General features: G+C 41.2%; 1 protein-coding gene, 1 long non-coding RNA gene and 1 other non-coding gene across 6 annotated transcripts in view, besides 2 other annotated features; 1 reads left to right on the top strand and 2 right to left on the bottom strand.

Annotated features, from left to right (window-relative positions):
• AEN (apoptosis enhancing nuclease) overlaps positions 1-7,137 on the bottom strand; it is a 27,599-nt gene extending 20,462 nt beyond the window's left edge. The window contains exons 1-3 of one of the 3 annotated variants that reach the window (XM_047432947.1): positions 6,664-7,137; positions 6,281-6,439; positions 2,978-3,095 (exon numbers count right to left, since the gene is read on the bottom strand). The gene's annotated coding sequence lies outside the window, so the exon portion shown is untranslated. Of the gene's footprint in view, positions 1-2,977; positions 6,440-6,663 lie in introns of all 3 variants that reach the window. The other 2 variants (XM_017022489.2, XM_047432946.1) reach the window with 2 other exon arrangements.
• Positions 3,623-3,713, bottom strand: MIR1179 (microRNA 1179). Its single transcript, NR_031590.1, has one exon. It is a non-coding gene; the product is annotated as a microRNA 1179 (primary transcript).
• Positions 5,593-6,030: a silencer, noted in NCBI's record as "fragment chr15:89149021-89149458 (GRCh37/hg19 assembly coordinates)". NCBI's record gives its function as "represses an EF-1alpha promoter that drives an FKBP-Casp9 reporter gene in an ReSE screen in HepG2 liver carcinoma cells {active_cell/tissue: HepG2}" and the evidence as "EXISTENCE:reporter gene assay evidence [ECO:0000049][PMID:32094911]".
• Positions 6,710-26,249, top strand: LINC01586 (long intergenic non-protein coding RNA 1586). Of its 2 annotated transcripts, none has more exons than NR_120370.1 (3): positions 6,710-6,956; positions 8,338-8,423; positions 24,758-26,249. It is a non-coding gene; the product is annotated as a long intergenic non-protein coding RNA 1586 (long non-coding RNA). The 2 variants fall into 2 exon arrangements; NR_120369.1 differs by lacking the exon at positions 6,710-6,956 and adding an exon at positions 7,217-7,473.
• Positions 6,744-7,450: an enhancer, noted in NCBI's record as "H3K4me1 hESC enhancer chr15:89147601-89148307 (GRCh37/hg19 assembly coordinates)". NCBI's record gives its function as "activates a minimal SCP1, AML or CMV promoter by ChIP-STARR-seq in primed H9 embryonic stem cells {active_cell/tissue: H9 hESC(primed)}" and the evidence as "EXISTENCE:reporter gene assay evidence [ECO:0000049][PMID:30033119]".

Below are 26,249 nucleotides of genomic sequence, written 5' to 3'. Positions count from 1 at the left end.
TTCTGCAAGGCGTTCGAGGACCACCCCCCTCCCCTCGCCACCAGGTCAGCGGTCTGGATGCTCCTTCAGGCGAGGCGTTGTCTCCGCTCCTATTACTAAGTTCATCTTTGAACACCTCTCCTCACCTCAGAATTCCCTGGAGAAATTATTTTTTCTTACTTTTCCCTTTTTTCTGGAGTGTTCTACTTTCTATAATGGACACAGTTGTTTTGTTTTGTTTTGGTGAGACAGGGTCTTGCTCTGTCACCCAGGCTGTAGTGCAGTGGTGCAATCACAGCTCACTCCAGCTTCAACCTTCCAGACTCGAGTGTTCAAGTGATTCTTCCACCTCAGCCTCCCTAGTAGCTGAGACTACAGCTAATTTTTTTTTTTTTTTTTTTTTTTTTAGTAAAGACAAGGTCTCAGTATATTGCCCAGGCTGGTCTTGAACTCCTGGGCTCAAGTGATCCTCCTGCCTCAGCCTCTCAAAGTGCTGGGATTATAGACGTGAGCCACTGCACCCAATTTGAGCATATTTCCTTTACAAACAGGGGAATTATTTTTAAAGAGAAGCAGGCAAGTGGCTCATTTCTCTCTTTCCTTTACTAATCATAAAGCATTGAACCACCATGCAGAAGAGAAACTAGAGCTTGGAAATGGTGACCCCTCTCTACTGGTGCCTCCCCCTTCTGGAAGCCTATGGGCATGGCCCATGGTGAAAATTCTTCCTGTGGTTACTGAGCCCTGGAAGCTTCAGAATGAAGTCAGAGTGGTGGTGCTGGGGTAAGCAGAGCAGGAAGAGGAAAAGGGGAAATGGTTGTGGACAGGAGGCTGGTGGAATCCTGGCCCAGTCATCCCCTCCCTGCAGGCACAGCGCTGGGCTCCCTGGTTAATTTCCCTTGCAGTGTGGCACTGGTGGAGGAGAGGCAAAGCCCCTGCTGCCTGGGCCAGCCTCTAATTGCGCTGGCAGGACACATCCGCTCCTTAATTAGCAAAAGCCACAATATCCTGGCGGCTCAGAGAGCATGGCCCTAATTGTATTTCTGCAGCAACTGAAGGATAATTACCCTTCCCTATTGGTGCTGCTTTTAATTCTTTCTCTTTTTAATTGTGAGCACTTCCTCTTTAGCCCACCCTTCCATCCTTGGGTTTATTCTCTCTATCCAGAATGGGGGTGGGGGCTTGCCTGGTGATGGAGACGCTCAGGAGCAGGAGGAGTGGGGGGAGTCATGGAGAAGACTGGCAATACCTAGCTCTGAGTCCCAGCCCCTTCCAGCTGTCAGCCTGAGACAGGGCACATCTCTGCCATGGGTCTGAGAAAAACCAAGAAGTTCTTTTGTGGAAGATGTAAGGGAGAGGTGTTCCTCCCCCAGAGGCTCTTTATGACCCTCTTCAGTCTACCCCGCAGTGAGGTGCTGGCTCTGAAATTCCCAGCTGTAGAAAACTGAGACCTCCTTTCCCCATCCTTTAATCTATCAAGAAACAGAGATGGATGTGTGGTCTTTAATTTCTTTTACAAAAAAAAAAAAAAAATAGCCCCGTGCCTCTTTGCCACTGTTGAGAGGAGGGTTAGTCCTTCAACCTTGAATTGTTTTAGAGACAAGGACCTGAGGGTACCATTAGAGAACAATGCTAACTAAGGTAACCCCTTGGTTAATAGGAGAGCTTAGCACCCTAGGTATTTCTAGGAAAAACAGGCCTTTCTTAGGGACCTGGCAAATAAACTTTGAGAAGTAATAGACAAGCTAAAATGCACCACAAAGAGAGTTTGGAGAGAACCACAGCATCTCTCTGGATGTCAGCTTGCAGGACTGACTGATCTAGCTTACATGAGCAACCCTGGCCCTAAAGCCACCACCCAAACCACTGCCCTGCTAGAAGCTCACTATGAGAGCAGGGACTCTCACTCATTATTCTTCCAAGTGCCTCGCGCACAGCCTGGCCCGTGATAAATGAAACTGGTTGGCAAAGAAGCAGAGTTCAGAGACAGAGTAGGATTGTGAGGTGTGAACAGGGTAAATCCATTTTCATTGGCTTTTTCCTTACAGATCCAATGAAGATGAATTTGAACTGATTGTGGCCCTAGTTTTCAAAATTCTTTAATTCTGGGCTCTATCTGAATTGGGAGAAGATGCAAGCAATAAAAGAGGCTGCTGTAGTCTCAAAGAAATATATTTTGAAAAAATGACCTGCCCTTGAGCCCACCAACTTCCACTCCCCACTTCTAATTTCTTTCCTCTGAATTTAGAGCTGTTCCCTTAGCAACGCTTGTTTCCATGGTTTCCTCCATGACAATGATCCCAAACCCCTCCTCTCTTTTACCTCATGACAGTAATGGATGATGGGGATCCTCAATGTGGCCACTCCATGTTACCATGGTAACAATTAACTGAGCCTTAATTTATCTTTTGTGAAGAGGGCTAGGGAATATGAAGCTTTTGATTTGGAGGGGGAGGGTCCAGGTCTAGAGCTACCATTCTCATAAAGAAGAAGATAAGCTATTTGTCTTAATACTAGCCAGTAGGATTTAGTTCAAACATTTGTTCAGCCCTACTTTAAGCACAACTGAGTTTGAGGGAATCAAAGGGGTACAAGACATAGCTCCTAATATTGAAGGGCTAATAGTCTAGCACTAGGGCTCATGGTACCGCTGAACTCTGGCACAGATGGGGCCAATAAAGAATATGGCTCTTGATAGCACCGTGATGATCAGGCATCTATCCATTCCCAGTATCCCCTCCTGCCAAGAACCAAAAAAAGACTGACTGAAGTGGTCTGTACTCACATTAAGACTTCTTCCGGGCTGTTATCAGAGAGTTTCTGTCCTGAAAGGGAAAGAACTTTGACTTCCCCTCTTTTAGGGAAGTGGGGACCAATGCCAGCATCCCTGAGTAGGACTATTTGGTGCAGGAAAAAAGAGAAAAATAAACAGACCTGCCCATTGCCAGTGCAACAAAGGACTGGGATAATCTCCAGTTCCAGGATAACCATCACCTACCTGCAACAAGTCTTCCTGGGAAGCGATGAGTCAGCTCTTACATTGAATTAAAGAGTCATTGTCTCCATCCATTCAGCTTTTCTATTTGTCACTGAAAATTCAGGCCAAAAGCGCAGCTCTGAAGAATGAAAGTGGAAAAACAGACAAATAAAAATCAAAGTGAAGAGGACACCAAACACCAAACACAAAACACCAAAGCTGAGAGCTGAGTAGAGTGAATCCACAAGCTGAGATATCCATTCTGCATCACAAGCAATGCAGTTCTTCCGACTTCTAGCTTTCCATCTTCATCTCCAAAAGTTTTCACCAAATCTCTAATAATGAGGACCAATTATCTATTTTTAGGGGAAATCACAAAATTCTCTGGACCCTCAGTGTGCTGGTAACAATAACCTGCACTGACTTGGAAAGATGATCACAGTATCTCCTAAAATGAAGGGGGAAAAAAGCCATAGGACAATGTATAAGGCAGGTATGTTGAAGTAAGCTGCGAATAGGTAGGTAAAAAATGTCATCCTTGCAAGTCAGTGCAATCTGGATTAGCCAAAGTCAATTCCAGATCCTGAGTCCAGGACTCTGAGTTCTGTCCTTTGCTACTGGATGGAACTAAGGCAGATTCAATCCTTCTGTGTACCCTGCTCACTCAGCTAGTCAGAAAAGGATAAATGGCATCCTCTTATTGGTTGACAAGGCAATACACACCAACCAATGAAAGAATGCTTCTTCCTTTCCAGCCAATAAGAGCTCAGTTATCTTCTTGAAAGTAGACCCTTTGTCCATAAAGAAAATAAGCAGAAAGTGAATAATAATTAAAAAAAACCACACAACTGTTGCTATGGGACATTACTGATGTGATCAATGATAGCTGCCCCGGACAATTCATAAAGGAAAGCACTTCTTTGGGAAGAAAAGTACAAAAAGCAGACCAGCTGTCTGGTCTGGTCTAAAGGGAAGTTTCTATAGTAACATGGGAGAGAAAAGCATTTTAAAAGCATTTTAATGTAAATACCCGCAAAACTATCAAGTCAGTTCACCGAGCGAATTTTTGACCTTTTAAACTTATGCTGAAATTATAATGAATAAAAATTCTTATATTAATAATAAATGAAGGAAATGGAGAGAAAAGAAGAGAACAAGAGGAGAAAAGAAAAGACCTGTGTGTTTATGGTTCAGGGCATCACAGATAAAGATATCACAGTTCCTGCCTGAAACAGAAATGTTCTCCAACCCCGTGTTGTCAAGTAATATCTCAGTTTAAAACAAACTTCTTTTTGTTGTTGTTATTGTTGCTGTTTTTCGGGAAAGAGAACGTTCATGGCACTTAGACTTATTTGAGATGAAACAGTGCACAGAGCACAGGCTGTTCTGGTAACTTGCTAGCGATTTCCTCTCAAATCATTCTGAGAATGTTACAGCTGCCTTTGGAAAATTATGAGTAAAATAATTTCCTACCCAGATGTTTCTAATGGACATAGGCAGGGCAAGGCTGACAGGTGAAAGTGGAGTCAATGTTTGTCAATCAAGGGAAACAGAAAAACTCAGAGGATTAGAAGCTTTAGGTGCTGTATTTGCTAATTATGAAGGCGATGCTGGGGAGGAAGAAGAGAAGAGAATCTTGAGGAATCAAATGAGAGTGATGCTAGTGTCCATCTGCTAAGGGAGACACGTTTCCCTCTACCTGTGCTTTCTATGTGGTCTATGGGGCAAGGTGAGAAGTGGGGGTAATCCAGAATTCAGCCCTCTCTCCCCTGAGGGGAGTGGTTTAGTGGGGCAGGGATGACTATCAAACCAGGGAGAAAGTTTCTCTCTACAGTAGACACCCCTGGACAATTTCCTTGTCTCCCTCCTGTACATCCAGGAAAAGCAATTTTTTTTTCTCATTTTAAGGGGGAAAAAGAGAGGGTGGGGATAGGAACTCAGCTCCTTCAGTATAAAGGACTAAATGAAAAATATAAAAGCCCAAATTGTAAATCCTGGAGAAATGAAGCCATGGGGTGGAGGGGGGAGGGGATGACTGTAGTGGTGGAAAGGTAAGTTGCTCTGCTATGCGCCTTTACTTAAAATAAAAACAAACAAACAAAAAACAAACATCTTCCAGGATTTCCCCAGACGGGGCCTTACGCGGGATCGATGTGCCTCTCACCTAGCCCAGACAAGGCAGGGGCTCCCCAGGAGATATTTTAAATAGTCAAGGTGCTCACTGATTATCAGTGGCCAAAGCCCCGCCACCCACCGTAACCAAGGCAACAGGAGGCAGGTGCTGCGACTGGTTGCCTGGTAAGCATGCTAGTGCCAAGTCCTTTCCCTTCCTTCTCCACCTCCGTTAGCCCTTTTGTGATAGCGCCTCTCCCTCCGCTATCTTTCCCCTTCTTGGCCAAACAATAATCTTTGCTCCTCATACAAAGGTCACTTTGGGCTCCTTTGGGTAAAAAAACGCGTACCTTGATGTTCTTTTTGAACAGATTTCATCCACGCTTGAGTTTTGAGACCTAGATAAAATGTGCTTCTTACCTCGGCTTCAATATCTTCTCCCTCCACCCCACTCTTTCCCTTTCACTCACTCCTATTAAGGCATACAGAGAGCGCGGGGAGGAAGGAAGGAAGGGAAAAAGGAAGGGGGAGAGAGCGAGAGGGAGCACGGGGGAGCGCAGGATTTAAATGTGGCGATTTTTCACGGAACACCAGAGCCTGGGGCTCACAGTAGATCCTCTGTCCCGCTTGCCCCTTTGCTCACCGCCTGCAATCGTGCCTCTGCTCCCCGCACCACTGCCTAAATTTGGCGCCAAGTTTTTCCACTGGTCGTGGCCAGAGCGAGAGAGAATGCTCTCCTAGAATCCCACACCTAAATCCCTGGAGAAATGAGGAAGATGAGTCCCGCTTTCTTCCGCGAACCTGTGTCACCTCCTGACCTCCTCCGCGTGGGGTCTGAGGGGCCGCGAGCGCAAGTGGCGTGGGCTGGGAGGCCGAGCCGTGCGCAGGCACCGACCATGGGCACCCTAGGGCCGGGGCGCTGTCCAGCCTCTGGTGCTGAAGCTGCAGGCTCGGATTCGCTGGGGGAGGGGCTCCAGGGACCTTTAGCAGCCTGATTCTGAGCCGACTCCAAGCGGGTAGCGACTCGAAGGAGAGGCGCTTGGTCTGCCGAGTGGAAAGGCTACACTGGGAAGTAACGGCATTAGGCGCTCTCTTTCAGCAGATAGGGCTCTCCCAGGGCGCAATCCCCGGCGCCTCTGATTCCCCTCCCTGGAGTTATTTGCTGCAATTGCGGTGGGTAGGAAGAAAGGCCCTTTGCACTGGGGCGATTACCCAGTGGTCTCCTGGTACTTTTCACATTTTTTCCTGCGGCTCTGGGCTCTCTGGGTGCTGGCCAGCCTGGCGCTCAGATCTGGTGGCAGGCAAAGCAAAGAGGAGAGGCTTGGAACGCCGAACCCAGCTGCTCTTCTGCATGCAACAAGTCAGCTGCATCTAGAATCAGGGGCGAGAAGCGCGGGAGGAGGGGCGACGGCGGGCTTGGGGCGGCTGGGTTGCGAGAGCCGGCTCCCGCGAGGCTGTGGGGCCGTCTTTCTCCTACTGGGCGCGGGACCGAGCGAAACAAACTGCAAGCTGGGTTTCCGCGTCGCCCCGGGCAGGTACTGGAACCAGACGCCCCCACACCTCTAGCCTGCCCAGCATCCCGTAGGAGCGCTCACCTGCTGGGCTCCGGAGTCGCCTTCCTTCCTCTTCATTTTGGCAAGGCACATTTGGCGGGTGCCAAGCCTGGCCGCTCGCTTCTCCGGCCCTCCAGAGCAGCCTCAGGCTTAGCTTCCCGAATATCAGCTCCAGTTGGCTGCTTCTCCAGTCCCGAGCCCTTGACCTGGAGGAGGGGACGGGACCGGGGACCTCGGCTGGGATTTTTACCTGGCATGGGTCGCCGCGGCTAGGGAGGAAGACCACTTGCTCTCCGTTTCTTTCTGGAAGAAAGCCCCTCACCACCCAGCTGCCGGTACTTTGCTTCCCCCCAGGAGCCGCAGTGCAAGTAGCAGCGCAGTGCGGGGGAGGGGGTGGGGTTTGAGGAAGCTGTTTGTGAAGTGCCCCTTGAATACTTGCCTCTCTGAGGCCATCAGTCCTGTCCGGGTCCGTAGTCCTGGCATGGTCCGCCGGGTGCAAACACAGTCGCCGCGGCTGCCGGGCCAGAGGAGAACAGCTGCTTTAAAGCTGAGACCAACCCACGGGTGGCCTGTCAGGGCCACGGATGTTCATGACGTCATCCTGAAGGCGAGCGGAGAAAGCGAGTGGAGAGGGGGGAGCCGCGCTTCACATCAAATGTCCCCTGTGGCCATGGCAACAGCTTTGGGGGAGGGGGTGCCGGTCCGCGGGCCAGCAGCGGGCAGCCTGCGACTCCTGCCAGGGTCCAGCGCTCCGCTGGGGTAGAGTCCGTCATTAGTGCTGAATCCAGTTGTGCCCGGACCAGAAGAGACACCAGAGCCAGTCCCGTCCCCTCCCCGGGCTGGTCATAGCAGGTGGGTGGCTGCCTGGTCCCAGAGAAGAGGCTGGGGGAGACTGCAGGCGTCTGGAGACCAATTAGCAGAAATTTTTTTTTCACAGGGCCATTTCCTATTCTTCCACCACCTTACCTGGGCAGGTCAGACCCGGTTCACCTGACCGCTCACAGACGTATTCTCACTCACTCTCGACCGACGCATGCTGGAGCAGAGCACACCCAGGCAGCGCCCAAGCGGGACTCACCCACCTGCCCGGGTCCTCGCCTGCACACACGACAAACTGAGGCTTCAAAGCAGCCTTGAGAGCTTCAGAACATGACAAACCCACTACTGATCCAGTGCGCATCTAGGGGGCGCAAACTGGTGACCAACGAACCAGACAGGACACAAAAATGTTTGTGAGGCTCCCACAGTATTTTAAAAATTTGAAGTACTTGTCAAAAAGATTGGAAGAGTTCACAGAGAAATCTGGGTTTTCCATCTCTCTCTCCCTCTCTCTAAAACAATATCCATGTCATGGCCTTTCCATGTCTCTTGAATAGGGGCTGGCATTCTGCATGCAGGGAGAAGCCCTGACCAGTGTACACAGGGCTGGGGTCCAGGCAAAAGTAGCCCCTCTTCCCCTTTTTGTCAATATCACCAAGCCCATTTATCATCAATCTTATCCTTTTACGTTGTTTTCCTATAGTAAAGAGGAAAGTGTGGCCAAGAGCAGTGTCTCACGCCTGTAATCCAGGCATTTTAAGAGGTGGAGGTGGGAAGATCATTTGAGCCCAGGAGTTCAAGACCAGCCTAGGCAACACAGTGAGACCCCCATCTCAAAAAAAAAAAAAAAAAAAAGGAAAGTAAAATTGTTTTTTGTCTCCGGTTGGTTCCCTGCAGGCCCAACCCTGGACGGACACACAAATATCTGTGCTGCCCACATCCAGCCAACACAGGCAGCAGGATATTTCCTCCTAGTCAGACTGGTGAGTTTTTATTTTTCATTTTCATATTTCAAAATATGCAGGTATTTGAGAAACATTTTAAAAATCATATTTTTCATTTATCACTCAGATATTGGATCACATGGAACTTTCTTTACATTTTTAAATGTAAGGAATAATATCTTATTCATAAATATGTGGAAAAATAACAGAAGAAAACATTTTAATTACTCTCAGACTCACCCATTATTATGTAAACATAACACTGTTTTGCATTTTCTGGTTGGCAGTCTGAATACAGCTGTAAAATACATTCTTGTGAATGCAACGAGCCAACCAACATACAAGTAAAAAGCACCACCAACAGGGACATATAGTTGAGTCTTATGCATACTCTGTCACACAGTCACATTTACGAGTTCATTCATTAAATGTGCATTTTGAATACTGTACATGCAAAAATATGGAAGGCGGGGTTATCCTTTTTTTTTTTTTTTTTTTTGAGACGGAGTCTCACTCTGTCGCCCAGGCTGGAGTGCAGTGGTGCGATCTCGGCTCATTGCAAGCTCCGCCTCCCGGGTTCACGAGATTCTCCTGCCTCAGCCTCCAGAGTAGCTGGGACTACAGGCGCCCGCCACCACGCCCGGCTAATTTTTTGTATTTTTAGTATAGATAGGGCTTCACTGTGTTACCCAGGATGGTCTTGATCTCCTGACTTTGTGATCCGCCTGCTTCGGCCTCCCAAAAGTGCTGGGATTACAGGCATGAGCCACTGCGCACGGCCAGAAGTGGGGTATCTTCTTTTTCCATTAGCAGTAGATTTCCCCCTAAGGAAAAACAGGTTCTTATTTATATGCACTTGCTCTCTTAGCCAAGTGTCTGAAAAATTTTGGTTGAAAGCCAGGGTAACTTTGTACTAGATCAACTCCAAATCTTGGCCAACATGGATTGTTTTAGCCTGTTCAGAAAAATTAGGGCAGAGAAAAGATTCTGCATTTATCTCTTGGTGAAAATCTGTTTGGTCTTTGGCCTGACTGGCTCCTTAACACAGGACATTTTTCTTGCAACCGTTCCATTTGTGAATCTTAGCGCTCTAGGCCCTAGAGGGAGTGTAAGTAATACTATTAATGCTCTATTCGTTATCTTTATAAAGCACTTCTAATTTTTCACTGAGTATTTTACATGATGTATCTCATTTGATTCTAGAAGCTGACCATTTTATAGATAAAGAAGCAGAGCTCAGACTGTTTAATTCACCTTGAGTTCCCAGTGCTCCTTCTGCTGGAAAGACCCACTGTCTCCCTTATATGAGTCATCAAAATTATTTAGTAAATAGTTAAGAGAGTTAGCTGGGTATGGTGGTATGCACCTGTAGTCCCAGCTACTCAGAAGGCTGAGGTGGGAGGATCACTTGGGCCAAGGAGTTCAAGGCTGTAGTGAGCTATGATTGTGCCACTACACTCCAGCCTGGGCAACAAAGAACTTATTTTTACACACACACACACACACACACACACACACACACACACGCACCCCGAAAACAAAAAATAAATGAACAGTTAAACAGAAAATTTAACAAAGTTAAACAAACAATTGGAATTTTTCTGCTTTATTTAAAATAGAAATGTAAATTATAAAATGTGGAGTACCATTTTCCACATACTGAATTAACAAAAAATTTAAAAACCTACTTCCCAGTGTTGGAGAGGGTATGGTGAAATAAGTACTCATACCCTGTGGAGGTTGCAAGTTGGTTAAATTCACTGGAAAGCAATTTTGCAAGTTGTATCAAGGGTCATAGTGACCAGCCTGGGCAATACAGCAGGACCCTGTCTCTACAAAAAAAAAAAAAAAAAAAAAAAGTCATAAACACAAATACGTTCACACCCTTTGGACCAGTTTTTCTTTGGGATATCTTAATAAAATAATCTTGGGCTGCTGCAGTGGCTCACGCCTGTAATCACAGCACTTTGGAAGGCCGAGACAGATGGATCACCTGAGGTCGGGAGTTCAAGACCAGCCTGACCAACATGGAGAAACCCCGTCTCTACTAAAAATACAAAATTAGCAGGGCGTGGTGGCACATGCCTGTAATCCCAGCTACTTGGGAGGCTGAGGCAGGAGAATCACTTGAACCCGAGAGGCAGAGGTTGCAGTGAGCCAAGATGGCACCATTGTACTCCAGCCTGGGCAACAAGAGGGAAACTCTGTCTCAAATAAATAAAATAATATTCAATACAGAAAATGTTAGATACATAAAGGTGTCCATTGTCACATTGTTTAATATTTTTTAAAATGGAAGCAACATAATATCCAACAATAGGAGACTGGCACATCATCTGTTGAATGGATAGAATATTCTACCAACTCTAAAATTAATGTTTTTGCTGAAACATGAGCCAAGAAAATACTCATAATGTTAAGGAAGGAAATTAGCAGAACATAGAACTGTCTTTACAGATATCATTAAAGTAAGGTCTTTAGAAAGCACATATATAGAAAAAATAGAACAGAAGTACATCAAAGTATGATAAAGTTTCTGTTAAAGAGATCACAGGTGGCTTTTAAATGTTTTCTTTTTATCATGTTTTCCAAATTTTCTGAAACATGATTAGGTAGTTTCTATAATTAAAATATAGTATGATACAAATATGGGAGTAGATGGTATTTATTAGGCATCTATTCCTTATCTGGCACTGTTCCAGATGGGCATAATCAGAGCAGGTGTGGAGCCTGGGTCTCAGACCTGTGCAGGTTGCTGCAGATCTTGCCTGGGGTATTAGGTGACCATGAGAGAGTTTGACCTTATCTGTAAAGAGCTGATAAGAGGCATTTGGTTTTTACTCAACTCAGATACATCATCAGCCCAGCTGCCCTTGTCCTCCTCCTCAATAAGCTTGCTTCTGTTCCTGGTATCTACTTTCTGGCCACTTCCTTCCACACCTCAAATAATAATCAAAACAATAATAATATTTCTTTTACATTTTTAATAGTACTTCACATTTTTCAATGCTCTCCAACACAATGTTTTACATAACTTTATAGCAACTACTACCAAAAAACCCCCCTTAAATTTAATTATCACAGCTCTGTGAGATAGGTGTTATTTTCTCCAGGTTTGTTTATTCTTTAGGTGCCGTGCCAGAAGCCACACAGCTGATAAGTGGTGGATCCATCTTGAATTTGACTTCTAGACACTCCCTTTTCATAGGACAGTGGGAGTTTAATCATGGACAACAATTCTTCTTCAGATTAGAACTTAATTGGAGGACAGATTGGCAGCTCAGCCGACCTTACTGTCATCGCCATTAGCCAAATAAAGATAAACCTTGACACTGCCAGTTTCCTCAATATTCTCATGCATTCATTTCTTGGAATTGACAAACCATGGACCAGAGGTCAAAAGATTCTGTGAGGGTCAGGCATCTTGGAGACATTACTGAGTTTCTAGATGGGTTGACATTTTAGAATGAAGCTTTTCTGGAAAGGAGACTGGATTACAGGTGCTAAAAGACTTGCTTGCTATGGATGGCTAAGGAGGCACCTGTCTTGTGCCAACAACCACACACCTCAAATGTGGAATTAGAGAACAGTGTAGTGAATGAAGTCATCACACTCACCTCCCACACACGTCGGGCATTCTAAGAAACCTTGGATCTCTCATCTTTCATCCCAATTGTGTAGCAAATATTTCTAAACCTTTGCCAGATTACCAAGAGAGTTTTAAAATTTAATTTCAAGGACCAACCAAGTACCTGATGGATTTTGTCATATCTGAAGACCAGAGAAGGCTGTTCTTGAAAAAGAAAACATAATTTTGGCAATAGTGAATATATAGTGACACCAGTTCAGAAAGAAGTTCTTTTAGAATTTTGACTCTGCTTACCTCTAGGAAATTAAAATCCAATAATAGAGAATTATAAATATCTTGGTTACTGTGATACTTTTAATGGCCAAAGTAACCCGGGCAATTCTATAAGTGACACAGAGCTATTCTTTTTTTTTTTTTTTTGAGACAGAGTCTCGCTCTGTCCTCCAGGCTGGAGTGCAGTGGCACGATCTCGGCTCACTGCCAGCTCCGCCTCCCGGGTTCATGCCATTCTCCTGCCTCAGCCTCCCGAATAGCTGGGACTACAGGCGCCCGCCACCATGCCCGGCTAATTTTTTTTTGTATTTTTAGTAGAGACGGGGTTTCACCATGTTAGCCAGGATGGTCTTGATCTCCTGCCCTTGTGATCCACCTGCCTCGGCCTCCCACAGTGCTGGTATTACAGGCGTGAGCCACCGCGCCCGGCCTTTAAAGTTAGAAAGGAGGTGATTCTATGTTTGTAGACCCAGGTTTATATACCACCATTCACAATAGCCAAAAGATGGAGGCCAGGTACGACAGCTCACACCTCTAATCTCAGCACTTTGGGAGGCCCAGGCAGGCAGATTGCTTGAGCCCAGGAGTTTGAGACCAGCCTGGGCAACATGGAGGAACCCTGCCTCTACCAAAAAAATATAAAAATTAGCTGGGTGTGGTGGGATGTGCCTGTAGTCCCAGCTACTTAGGAGGCTGAGGTGGGAGGATCACTTGAATCTAGGAGGCAGAGGTTGCAGTGAGCCAAGATGATGTCACTGTGCTCCAGCCTGGGCAACAGAGTGAGACCCTGACAAAATATAAATAAATAAAATATATAAATAAATAAATAAATAGAAAGAAGGGAAGAAAGAAAGGAAGGAAGAAAGAAAGAAAGGAAGGAAAGAAAGAGAGAAAGAAAAAAGAGGGCAGCAGCTCAAGTGTCTACTGATGGCTGAATGAATAAGCAAAATGTGGTATGCATATATAATGGAATATTACTCAGCCTTATAAAGGAAGGAAATTCTGACACAGGTAAAAATAAGAATGAACATTGTGGACATTATGCTAACTGAAATAAGCCAGTCACAAAAAGACAAATGCTGTATGATTCCAGTCTTATGAGATATCGACTATCTCATTTAATATTTCCTAATAAGAAACAATAGATGAATTGTTACTGGTTTTCACTAGCTAAAATTAAGATCAAGATGACATCTTCAAAATGCTGCTGTGAAATGTCAACACAGAACTCCGTACCTAATTGAACTACTATTCAGAGTGAATTTGAAATATAGACTATTTTAAATGACCTAAAACTATAGGAAGTTCAACACTCTTTTTCATTGTAAGACACAAAAGGATGGGCTTTGATAGCAATGAAATTGAACTCGAAAGGAAATAATGAGATAAAAGGAGCAACAGTGAGAATAGAAATGGGAAAATATGTTGATAAATCCCAAGAGCACCGACTATAAAATACAATAATACTGATGTCTAATTTGGAAGGTGGAGTCAAAAATGAGACAATAAATATCAATACATTTTGGTGAACCAATATTGTATAGACCACATTAAAAATAGCTTGTAGAGCTTCAGTTCTAAATTTTGTTTGTTTTATTCCAGTATGTTTTACAAATATTAACTATATTGTGCTTAATCAGGTGTACATGTTAATATGCTAAGAAAACAGCTAAAATGATAAAAATTATAAGTTTAACTTCCAAATTAGTAGAGAAAAAGAATGAAGAAAATGAGATTAATCAAGTAGAAGTTTGGAAAGGAAAAAGAAAAGAAGAAGAAAAAGCCCAAGGTAAATAGAAAACAAATGCAATGGCAGAAATAATTTTAATATTACTAATCATAATAAATTTAAATGTACTATGTTTCAGTCAAAAGACAGAGATTTTTGGACATTTAAAAATTCAGCTATACCCCAATTGTGAAAGATATACATAATCAAATGGACACAGACCTTGAACGTCAAGAGTTAAGAAAAAATATTCTAGACAATACTACCCCAAACCAACCTTGTATAATAGTTAATGTAGAATTTAAAGTGAAAAGCATTAAATAGGAACATGTTATAATGATATTAATGATAAAGAGAGTAATTGGCCAGGAAGGTATAACAATTCTGAGCCTGAATACATTGAACAACACAGCATCAAAATATAAAAAACAAGGCTGGGTGCAATGCCTTGTACCTGTAATTCCTACACTTTGGAAGGTTTAGGTGGGAGGATTGCTTGAGACCAGGAGTTCAAAACCAGCCTGGGCAACATAGTGAGACCCCATCTCTACCAAAAAAAAAAAAAAAAGAAAAAAAAAGAAAGACAGAAAGAAAGAAAAAGAAAAAAAGGCAGGTTTGTATAGAGAAATAAACCAAAACTACCTACAATTAATTATATTGAGATATTTTAGTACACCTGTATCAGAAACTGACGGATGAAGCATTAAGATATTTTGAGTATCTGTATGAATACAGACAATTTTAACTATACAATCAGTAAATTGATTCCCCATCCCTCTATCTGTGTGTGTATGTGTGTGCATCTGCACTCAACAAATAAAGAATGCATATCCTTTTCAGGCACATGTGGAATATTTATAAAAATTGTTAAATACTACCTCATAAAGAAAATCTCAAAAAATACCGAAGAATCAATATCATTTAGATAAAATCAGAAATCAATATTAAAAGCAGAACTCAAGACTGAAAATATAACCAAAGGTACATCAGTGTTGTGTGGGAAACAAAAAAAATAAAAATTAAATTAAAAAAATAACCAAAGGAACCCATATATTTGAAAGCTAAAATACAAACCACAAATAAAACAAAGAAATGACTAAGGAAAAACTAACAAACAAAATAAAACCCCACCTTTCTAAATACTTAAGAATAAAACAAAATTGAAAATGGAAATGTAAAAATAGTTCAAACTAAAAAACAATGAAAACACTATTTACCCAAACTTGCAGAATACAGCAAAAATAGTACTTTGAGATAAATTTGTAGTGTTAAATGTATATATTAGAAAAGAAAGACTTTAAGTAAGGACAAAGCTAATCATTCAGTTAATTTCTAAAAAGACAACATAAACTCCAAGAAAGTAGAAAAGAAGATATAATAATGTTAGCAATAAAGATTAACAAAATAGAAAACAAAGAGCCAACAAAGGCCAGAGGCACAGTGGCTCACACCTGTAATCCCAGCACTTTGGGAGGCCTAGAAGGGAGGACTGCTTGAGGCCAGGAGTTCAAGACCAGCCTGGGGAACATAGTGAGAACCACCCCCCCCGCCCCACCCAATCTCTGAAAGAAGGAAGGAAGGGAGGAGGGAGGGAAGGAGGGAAGGGAAGAGGAGGGGAGGGAGGGGGGAGGGGAAAGGAGGGGAGGGGAGGAGAGGGGAGGGGAGGGAACGGAAGGAAAGGGAAGGGAAAGGAAGGGAAAGGAAGGGAAGGGAGAAAGAAAGAAAGAGTTGCACTATCTCAGCTGACTGCAACCTCTGCCTCCCGGGTTCAAGCAATCTTTCCACCTTAGCCTTCCGAGTAGCTGGGACTGCAGGTGCAGGCCACCACACCAGGCTAATGTTTAGTAGAGATGGAGTTTCCCCATGTTGTCAAGGCTTGTCTTGAACTGCTGGGCTCAAGCAATCTGCCCGCCTCGACTTCCCAAAGTGTTGGAATTATAAGCGTGAGCCACTGCACCTGGCAGATATAGACAAGCTTAATAGACCTATAACAATTAAATTGGTAAATCTTAATAAAAATGTAGCACCCTCTGTCCTAAAATACACAAATCGTCGTTTCAGATTGTTTTATACACAAATTCTACCATAACTTTGAGGAACAGATTATCTTTATGTTACAATGCAAAAAAAAAAAAAAAAAAAGAAAAGAAAAAAGAAAACGAAGAAGAAAAAAGAAACGGTAACAACAAACCACAACAAATACTGGAGAGAAATGTATAGGCCAATCTATTTATAAATATAAATGTAAATCATCCTAAATAAGTTTTTAGTAAGCTAAATTCACATGATAAGCAAATAAGCCTTATCCTAGGATTCTAAGAATTTTTTTTTTTTTTTTTGGGGATGGAGTCTTGCTCTGTCGCCCAGGCTGGACTGCAGTGGCGCGATCTCGGCTCACTGTAAGCTCCGCCTCCTGGGTTCACGCCATTCTCCTGCCTCAGCCTCCAGAGTAGCTGGGACTACAGGCGCCAGCCACCACGCCCGGCTAATTTTTTTGTATTTTTAGTAGAAACGGGGTTTCACCGCGTTAGCCAGGATGGTCTCCATCTCCTGACCTCGTGATCCACCTGCCTCAGCCTCCAAAAGTGCTGGGATTATAGGGGTGAGCCACCGCGCCCGGCCAGGATTCTAAGACTTTTTAACATTTAGAAATCTATTCGGCCGGGCATGGTGGCTCACGCCTGTAATCCCAGCTTTGGGAGGTCGAGGCAGGTGGATCACCTGAGGTCAGGAGTTCGAGACCAGCCTGACCAACATGGAGAAACCCCATCTCTACTAAAAACCAAAAACTAGCCAGGCATGGTGGCAGGCACCTGTAATCCCAGTTACTCGGAGGCTGAGGCAGGAGAATTGCTTGAACCCGGGAGGGGGAGGTTGCGGTGAGCTGAGATCATGCCATTGCACTCCAGCCTGGTCAACAAGAGCGAAACTCCATCTCAAAAAAAGAAAAAGAAAAAGAGAAAAAAGAAATCTATTCATGTAAATTAGCTTGACTTTAATAGATTAAAAGAAAAAATAAAAGCACTAAATAAATCTAGAAAGCATTTGCTAAGATTCAATATTGATTTAAGATAAAACCTTTGGCCAATCTGGAATGAAAGGAAATTGCCTCTCCTTAATAAAAGATATCTATTCACAGTTAGTATCACACTTAACATTGGAATATGAGAAACATTCTCTTTGAAGTCAGGAATGTAACTGTAATCAACATGCTACTGGATGTGACTATGAAGATACCAAGTTGTCATTTCAGATAATGTGCTTTTACTAGAAAATGTAAGAAAACCTACAGATAAATGCTATAAGGTAATAAGTTTTTTGACAGTATCAGTGTTCAAAAATCAATAGCACAATTGAGAAAATCAATGACACTGAAATTAAGCCTTCTAGTTAGATTGATGAAGAAAAAAACAGAAGATTCAAATGACTTAAGAATCAGGAGTGAAAGAGGAAACATTACTACCAATCTTACAAAGTAAATAACATTATAGGAGAATATGAATATGAATAATCGAACACTGACAGATAACTTACATACAATTGGCAGATTCCTAGAAACACAAAAATTACTGAAACTGACTCAAGAAGAAATAGAAAATCTGAACAGATCATAACAAGTAAAGAGATTGAATCAGTAATCAAAAAACTTCCCACAAAGAAACGCACAAGGCCAGATGTTTTCGCTGTTGCATTGTACCAAACATTTCAAAAAGAATTAACACCAATCTTTCATGAACTCTTCCAAAAAATAAAACAGTAGGAAACATTTCCAAACTCTTTCTCTGAGTTGAGTATTACCCTGATATCAAAACCAGACAAAGATATCACAAGAGGAGAATACTACAGACCAACAGCCTTTATGAATATAAATGAAAAAGTCCTTACTGAAACATTAGAAAACTAAATCCATAAATATATCAAAAGGATTATACATCATGATCAAAAGCGATTTATCCCAGGAATGAAAGGTTGTTTTAAAATCTGGAAATCAATCAAAATAACACTTCATATTAATAGAATAAATGACAAAATCCAGACAATCAACTCAATCCAGACAAGAAACAGCTTTTGACAAAATCTAACACCTTTTCATGATAAAAACACTCAATAGGCAGGAAGTGGTGACTCACACCTGTAATCCTAGCACTTTGGGAGGGTGAGGTGGGAGTATTGCTTGAGCCCAGGAGTTAAAGACCAGCCTGGGCAACATGACGAGATCCTGCCTCTGTAAAAAATTTAAAAAATTAGCCATGTGTGGTGGCACATGCCTGTAGTTCCAGCAACTCTGGAAGCTGAGGCAGGAGGATTTTTTGAGCCCAGGAGGTCCAGGCTGCAATGAACCATGCTTACACCACTGCACTCCAGCCTGGGTGACAGAGTCAGACTTTGTCTCGAGAAAAAAGAAAGAAAAGAAAAAGAAAAATAAAAAACCCTCAACAATGTAGGAATAGAAAGGCACTTCCTAAACCTGATATAAGGCATCTATAAAAAATCCATAACTAACAACATATTTCCAATGGTGAAAGGAAAAGTTTCCCCTTAGATCAGGAACAAGAAGAGAATGTACATTCTCATCACTTCTATTCAATATTGTAGTGGAGGTTCTGTCCAGGGTTGTTAGTCAAGGAAAAGAAAGAAAAGGATTTGAAAGGAAAAAGTAAAATTTCTGTTTGCAGATGACATGGTTTTGTATATAGAAAATACTAAGGAATCCACAAAAGAAACTATTAGAGCTAATAAATTCAGCATGTTTGCAGGACATACAAAATATACAAATCAGTTCTAGTTCTATACACTAGCAATGGATAATCTGAAAGTGAAATCAAGAAAACAATTCCATTTGTAATAGCATCAAAAGAATAAAATACTTAGGAACAAATTTAATGAAAGCAGCGCATGCAAGACTTGTACATTGAAAACTACAAAGCATTGCTGAAATAAATTCTTTCTTCCTTTTAGATGTCGTTAGTGTCTCAGCAAAAGATCTAAATAAATGGAAACATATCCCATGTTCATGTATTGGCAAACTTATTGTTAAGATGACAATACTCCCTAGATTGACATGTAGAGTGGATACAATCCTAAATCCCAACACAATATCAAAATTCCTGCTGCTTCTTGTTTTGTTGTTGCACAAATTGACATGCTGGTCCTAAAATTCATATAGAAATGCAAGAGACCCAGAGTAGCCAAAACACTATCTAAAATGAAAAATAAAGTTGAAGGACTCAAACTTCATAATTTCAAAACTTAACGCAAAACTAGAGTAATCAAGACTGTGTGGTACTGGCAGGAGGGTAAACATATAGATCAATAGAATAAAATTGAGGGCCCTGAGATAAACTCATACATCTATAGTTAATTGATTTTCAACAAGGATACCAATTCAATCTGGTGGGAGAAGACGAGTCTCTTCAACAAATAGTGCTGGACAACTGGACATTCATATGCAAAAGAATAAACTTGGACCCGTAGTTCACACATATACACAAATTTACTCAAAATGGATCAAAGACCTAAATATAAGAGCTAAAATCACAGAACTCTTAGAATAAAACATAGGTGTAAGTCCTTGTAAACTTGGGTTATGCAATGGTTTCTTAAACATAACTTTCAAAGCTCAAGCAACCGAAGAAAATATTGGAATTAATAAAAATTAAAAACTTTCGTGTTTTGAGGACACTACCAAGAAAAATGAATAGATAACTTACAGAATGGGAAAAAATATTTGAAAATCATATATCTGATGAGGGCCTAGGATCCAGGACTAAAAAAGAACTCTTACAACTCAATAACACAAAGACAATCCAATTAAAATGGGCAAAGGATTTGAATATACAGTTCTCCAAATAAGATACACAAATGGCCAACAAGTACATGAAAAGATGGTCAACATCACTATTAATTAGGGAATGCAAATCAAATCCACAGTGAGATAAACCCACTGGAATGGCTATAGTTTTTTAAAAAGGACAATAACAAGTGTGGGTGAAGTTGTGGAGAAACTGGAACCCTCAGTTATTACTGGTGAGAATGTAAAATGGTGTAGCCACTTTGGAAATGTTAACTAGAGTTGCCATATGACCCAACTATTCCACCTTAGGTACACACCCAAGATAACTGAAAATATATATTATACAAAAATTTGTACACAAATGTTCATAGCAACATTATTTATAATAGCCCAAAGTGGAAACAATTCAAATGTCCCTCAGCTAATACATGGACAAGCAAATATTTATCCTGATAATGAAATATTACTCAGCCATGAAAAGGAATGAAGTTCTGATACATGCTGCAACATGGATGAAACCTGAAAGTATTATACTAAGAGAAAGAAGCCAGATGCAAAAGGCCACATACTGTATGGTTTCATTTATGTGAAATTATTTATCAGAATAGTCAAATCTATAGGAAGAAGACAAGTGGTTTTCAGGGACCAGGATGAAGAGCACATGGGCAGTGACAGCTCCGGGTTACAGGATTTCTTTTCGGGATGATAAAAATGTACTAGAATTAGCAGTGGTGGTTGGCCAACCTTGTGAATATATTAAAAACCACTAAATTGTATAATTTAAAAGGGTGAATTTTATACTATGTGAATTATTTCTCAATTTGAAAAAATCAATAGCGTTCCTGAGCAACACCTAATTAAAAAGATAACTTAATAAATTAACTTAAAATATCAAGAAAAAGGCCGAGGGTAGTGGCTCATGCCTATAATCCCAGCTGTTTGGGAGGCCGAGGCAGGAAGATTGCTTGAGCTCAGGAGTTTATGATTAGCCTGGGCAACATGGTGGGACCCCGTTTCCATGGAAAAAAAAAAAAAGAAAAAAACCACGAACAAACAAACAAAAAAATTAGCTGGGCATGGTGATGAATGCCTTTGGTTCCAGTTACTTGGGAGGTTGAGGTGGCACAGCTGCACTCCAGCCTGGGCGACAGAGTGAGGCTCTGTCAAAAAAAAAAAAAAAAAAAGAAAAAAAGAAAAGAAAAGAACTCTTAGGTAACTAGGAATAAATCTAACAATGATTTGCTACTGATTGAGGAGATTCTAAAATTTTATTGAAGGCCGTAAAAGAAGATCTACATAAATGGAGAGGAATTGCATATTTGTGGATGATGGCAATTACATTACAATGTTAATTGTCCTAAATGAATTTATAAATTTATTGCAATTCTAATAGAAAGCCAGGGCTTTTATTGTGTATGTGAACTTGACAAATTGATTTTAAACATTATATGAGGACAAAGAGCTAAGAATAGCCAAGAGAATCATGAGAAGGAAGTAGAGAGATCTCCCTACCAAATAACAAGGTTTATCATAAAACTATAGCAATTAATACTGTGTAGAATAGCCATAGAGATAGTAAAATAGACTAACACAGTACAATGAAAAGCCCAGAAACAGACCCATGTCTGGTGGAAAACTGGTCTATGGACGTTTGGCAATTGAAACATTTACATGGAAAATAAAGTAAGTTTCTAACCTCATACCATACTCAAAAATAAATTCACATTTTGGAGTAAAGACAAAATGTAAAAAACTTTTAGAACAGGAAAATATATAGGAGAATATTTTTATGACCTCAGGACAATGAATTATTTCTTAAACACGACACAAAAAGTACAAATAAAAAGATAAATTTAATTAACATTAAACTTAAAAATTTAAGCAGAGGCAAAAGACATAAATTAAGTAAAATCAAGTTTAGGATGGAAAAGATATTTACAAGCATACGATCAATGAAGAATTAATATCTAGAATACTTAAAGCACTTATATAAATTAATAAGAAAAAGACAAAAAATATTGAAAATTGAAAGGTTGTGACCAAGAAATCCACAGAAAAGGACACTCAAGCGGCCAATAAACTAGTGATTGAAGCGCAATTTGACTAATCATGAGGACAATGCAAATTATTATTATTTTTAACCTTTTTTTCATAGGTTATTGGAGTATAGGTGGTGTTTGGTTACATGAGTAAGTTCTTTAGTGGTGATTTGTGAGATTTTGGTGCACCCATCACCCAATCAGTATACACTGCACCCTATTTTTTTTTTTTTTTTGAGACAGAGTTTTGCTCGTTGCCCAGGCTGGAGTGCAACGGCGCCTTCTCGGCTCACCGCAACATCTGCCTCCCGGGTTCAAGCGATTCTCCTGCCTCAGCCTCCTGAGTAGCTGGGATTACAGGCATATTCTAACACACCTGGCTAATTTTGTATTTTTAGTAGGGATGGGGTTTCTCCATGTTGGTCAGGCTGGTCTTGAACTCCCATCCTCAGGTGATCCTCCTGCCTTGGCCTCCCAAAGTGTTGGGATTACAAGCGTGAGCCACCACACCTGGCCCCCTATTTGTAGTCTTTTATCCCTTGCCCCCTCCCACCCTTCCCCCACAAGTCCCCATAGTCCATTGTATCCTTATGCCTTTGCATCCTCATAGCTAAGCTCTCACATATCAGTGAGAATATACGATGTTTGGTTTTCCATTCCTGAGTGACTTCACTTAGAATAATAGTTTCCAATCTCATCCAGGTCACTGCAAATGCTGTTAATTCATTCCTTTTTATGGCTGAGTAGTATTCCATTTATATATATATATATATATATATATATATATATATATATAAATCTCACAGTTTCTTTATCCATTTGTTGATTGATGGGCATTTGGGTTGGTTCCATGATTATGCAATTGTGAATTGTGCTGCTATAAACATGCGTGTGCAAGTATCTTTTTTGTATAATGACTTCTTTTCCTCTGGGTAGATACCCAGCAGTGGGATTGCTGGATCAAATGGTAGTTCTACTTTTAGTTCTTTAAGGAATCTCCACACGGTTTCCATAGTGACTGTACTAATTTACATTCCCACCAGCAGTGTAGAAGTATTCCCTGATCAGTACATCCACACCAACATCTTCTGTTTTTTTATTTTTTAATTATGGCCATTCTGAGCAATGCAAATTATAACAATTATAACAACCAATCACACCCATCAAGTTGGGAAAATTAACAGGACTAATAATTCACCAAGTGTTGAATTTTCACCAGTTGTTAGTAAAAACGTGAGGAAACAGGAATTCTTAGACATCCCTATTGGAAGTATAAATTGCTACCATCACTTTGGAGAATAATTTGGTAATATCTAATAAATTTCAAGGTGTGCATACCCTTCAACCGACCCAACAACTCTTTTTCTAGGTACATACCCTAAAGAAGTTTTTAGACATTGTCACCACGAATAATTTGCCATGAACAAGAATGTTCACTGCAGCACTACTTGGAAATAGTAAGATGTAGAAACAGCTTAAATATCCATTGATAAGAAAATGGATAAATAAACTGTGGTCTATTTATGTAATAAAATACTATAATTCAGTGAAAAAATATATTGATCAATTAACTTGCAGCTCTACATGTATCCAGTTGGACATCTAGAAACTTATGTTCGGTGAGAAAAAAAAAGTTATAAAAAGATTCACAAACTATCATGTGAATACACAAAAGTAAAACAAAGTAAAGCATGATACTAATACAGATTGTTATAGGTAAATACAGATGAAGTAAATTTGTTGTTATTTTTGTTTGGCTTTTTGTTGTTGTGGTTGTTGTTTTGAGGCAGAGTCTCTCTGTCATCCAGGAGGGAGTGCAGTGACTCGATAATGGCTCATTGCAGCCTCAACCTCCTAGAATCAAGCGATCCTCCACCTCAATTTTTTTATTTTTTTGTAGAGACAAGGTCTTGCTATGTTACCCAGGCTGGTCTGGAACTGCGGGGCTCAAGCAATCCTCCTCCCTCAGCCTCCCAAAGTCGTAGGATTATAGACGTGAGCCACTTCACCCAGCCTGAAATAAATGTTTAATAACATGGATTGAAGGATATGTATCAACTTCAGGAAAGTAATCACCTCTGGCAGGGAAGGGAAGAAATGGGATGGTGACAACTGTATTTGTATTGTTTTATTTTTTTATATTTATTTATTTATTTTGAGATGGAGTCTCACTCTGTCACCCAGGCTGGAGTGCAGTGGCACGATCTCAGGTCACTGCAATCTCTGCCTCCTGGATTCAAGCGATTCTCCTGCTTCAGCCTCCTGAGTAGCTGGGATTACAGGCATGCACCACAACACCCGGCTAATTTTTGTATTTTTAGTAGAGACAGGGTTTCCTCATGTTGGCCAGGCTGGTCTCGAATTCCTGACTTCAAGTGATCCGCCCACCTCAGCCTCCAAAGGGCTGGGATTACAGATGTGAACTACTGCGCCTGGACTGACAACTGTATTTGTATTGTTTTATCTCTTGCTAAAAAGCATCTGAAGCAAATACATTAATAGTTGTTAAAACTGAGAAGTAGACATGTGGCTCTCTTTTCATATTTTCTGTATTTTATATATCTTTGAAATATTTAATAATTTATTCTAAAAAGTAAATACAATCTTTGTTTTGTTTGACAGTAGAAATTGATGTTTGATACTGGGGAGTCCTTTAACCTCTGTCGCGTAGGTTCTCCTTACTCAAAGGGGAATGGTGACCCTTCTTTTTCTATCTGATAGGGTTTTGGTGAGAATCAAATATACTCATACACAAGAGAGCACTTTGCAAACTATAAATTCTTCTTAATGCATGATACTTTTGTTATCATGTAAAATGAAATGGCAAAAAAAAAGAAATAATGAGCTAAGAACAGATCATTCTGAGATTTACAACTACAGCTCACACTAATTTTGAATTAGGTTATAGATAAAGAAAAGGTACTCAATTTCCTCTTCATATTTCCCCAGGGTGTTCTAAACCATGTAGATAAAGGCCACTTGCCCAGGAAGGGGGAGCAAGAAGGTCCTGGTTTCACCGTGAACATAAATCACTGTTTTGGCAGTCTACCATACTATCCATCAGACTAGCCTTTCAGAGGAAAATGCCAGAGGCAGCAACTGAAAACAGCTTGTAGGAGTCATCAGTTAGTCACTGAAGCAAATCATTTGAGAGAAGATAAAGACGAGCTCTTGACATTCCTGGGACAAGAAGACCTGCCCTGTGAGGCTCGCCTGTGAGCGGCTCAGCTTCTCCTACCCTGGGTAAGGTAATTGATGAGTTAGTTAATATGCACAGGAGATGCAGCACTGTCAAAAGAAGATGGACTGCTTCTAGTCCTCACTGTCATTACTAAGATGATCTCAGCCTTTCAACTTGACTGGGAGAAACCAATTTCCTGGGGGAAGTCTCAATAAAATTGTTTTCCTATCATCAGGTGGAAATCTTGTTAAGTGCTCCAAGGACCCTTGGTTTTATGGGTTTGTTTTTACAGCCCCCAGCAGCCTTGGCTAGGATTTCATTCTAAAATAACATTTCCTCTCTGTAAAAAATGTCTTGTTGCTCCAGGCTCTGGGGCTGAGTGACCCTCATGAGTTTTTGACTGCAGGAGGCCAAGGGGTGAAATGGAGGTTTGCAATTTATGTCAAATATGCACACAGGGACACACAGTTGGATCTGTCCCTTCTGCTTCCTCTTTTTTAGAAGATGAGATGATGACTCCTGCTGTGACTATCCTGACAGTACCCCCATTCAACAATTCAGAATTAGCAGTAGATGTACAGTAAATTTGTTTTTTTCCTTTTAAATAGACTTTATTTTTTTCTTAGAACAGTTTTAGGTTCACAGCAAACTTGAGCAGAAAGTAGAGTTTCCATTACACTCCCTACTCCAACACATGCACAGCCTTCCCCCATTGTCAACATCGTACACCAGAGTGATACATTTGTTACATTGATGAACCTACATGGACACATCATTATCACCCAAAGTCCACAGTTTGCATTAGGGTTCACTCTCGATGTTATACATTTTATGGATTTGGACAAATGTATAGTGGCATATATCCACCATCATAGTACCCTACAGAGTAGTTTCTTGGCCTTAAAAATCTGTACTCCACCTATTCATCCCCCCTCCCTTCCTAACTCCTGGCAACCACTGATCTTTTTGCTGTCTTCCTATTTTTGCTTTTTCTAGAATGTCATACAGTTGGAATCTTACAATAGGCTACATACAAAGGCTACAGCCTTTCCAGATTGGCTTCTTTCACTTAGTAAAACACATTTAAAGTTTCTCTGTGTCTTTTCATAGCTTGATATCTCACCTCTTAGCACCTGATTATTTGGTACAAAATAATATTCCCTTGTCTGGATCTACCACAGTTTATTTATCCTTTCACCTACTGAAGGACATCTTGGTTGCTTCCAAGTTTTGTCAATTATGAATAAAGCTGCTATAAAC

Source organism: Homo sapiens, chromosome 15 (assembly GCF_000001405.40).
Source record: "Homo sapiens chromosome 15, GRCh38.p14 Primary Assembly".
In the NCBI taxonomy this organism is placed as follows: Eukaryota; Metazoa; Chordata; class Mammalia; order Primates; family Hominidae; genus Homo; species Homo sapiens.
Note: the sequence above shows the minus strand (reverse complement) of the source record. Positions and strands in the feature narration are given on the sequence as shown.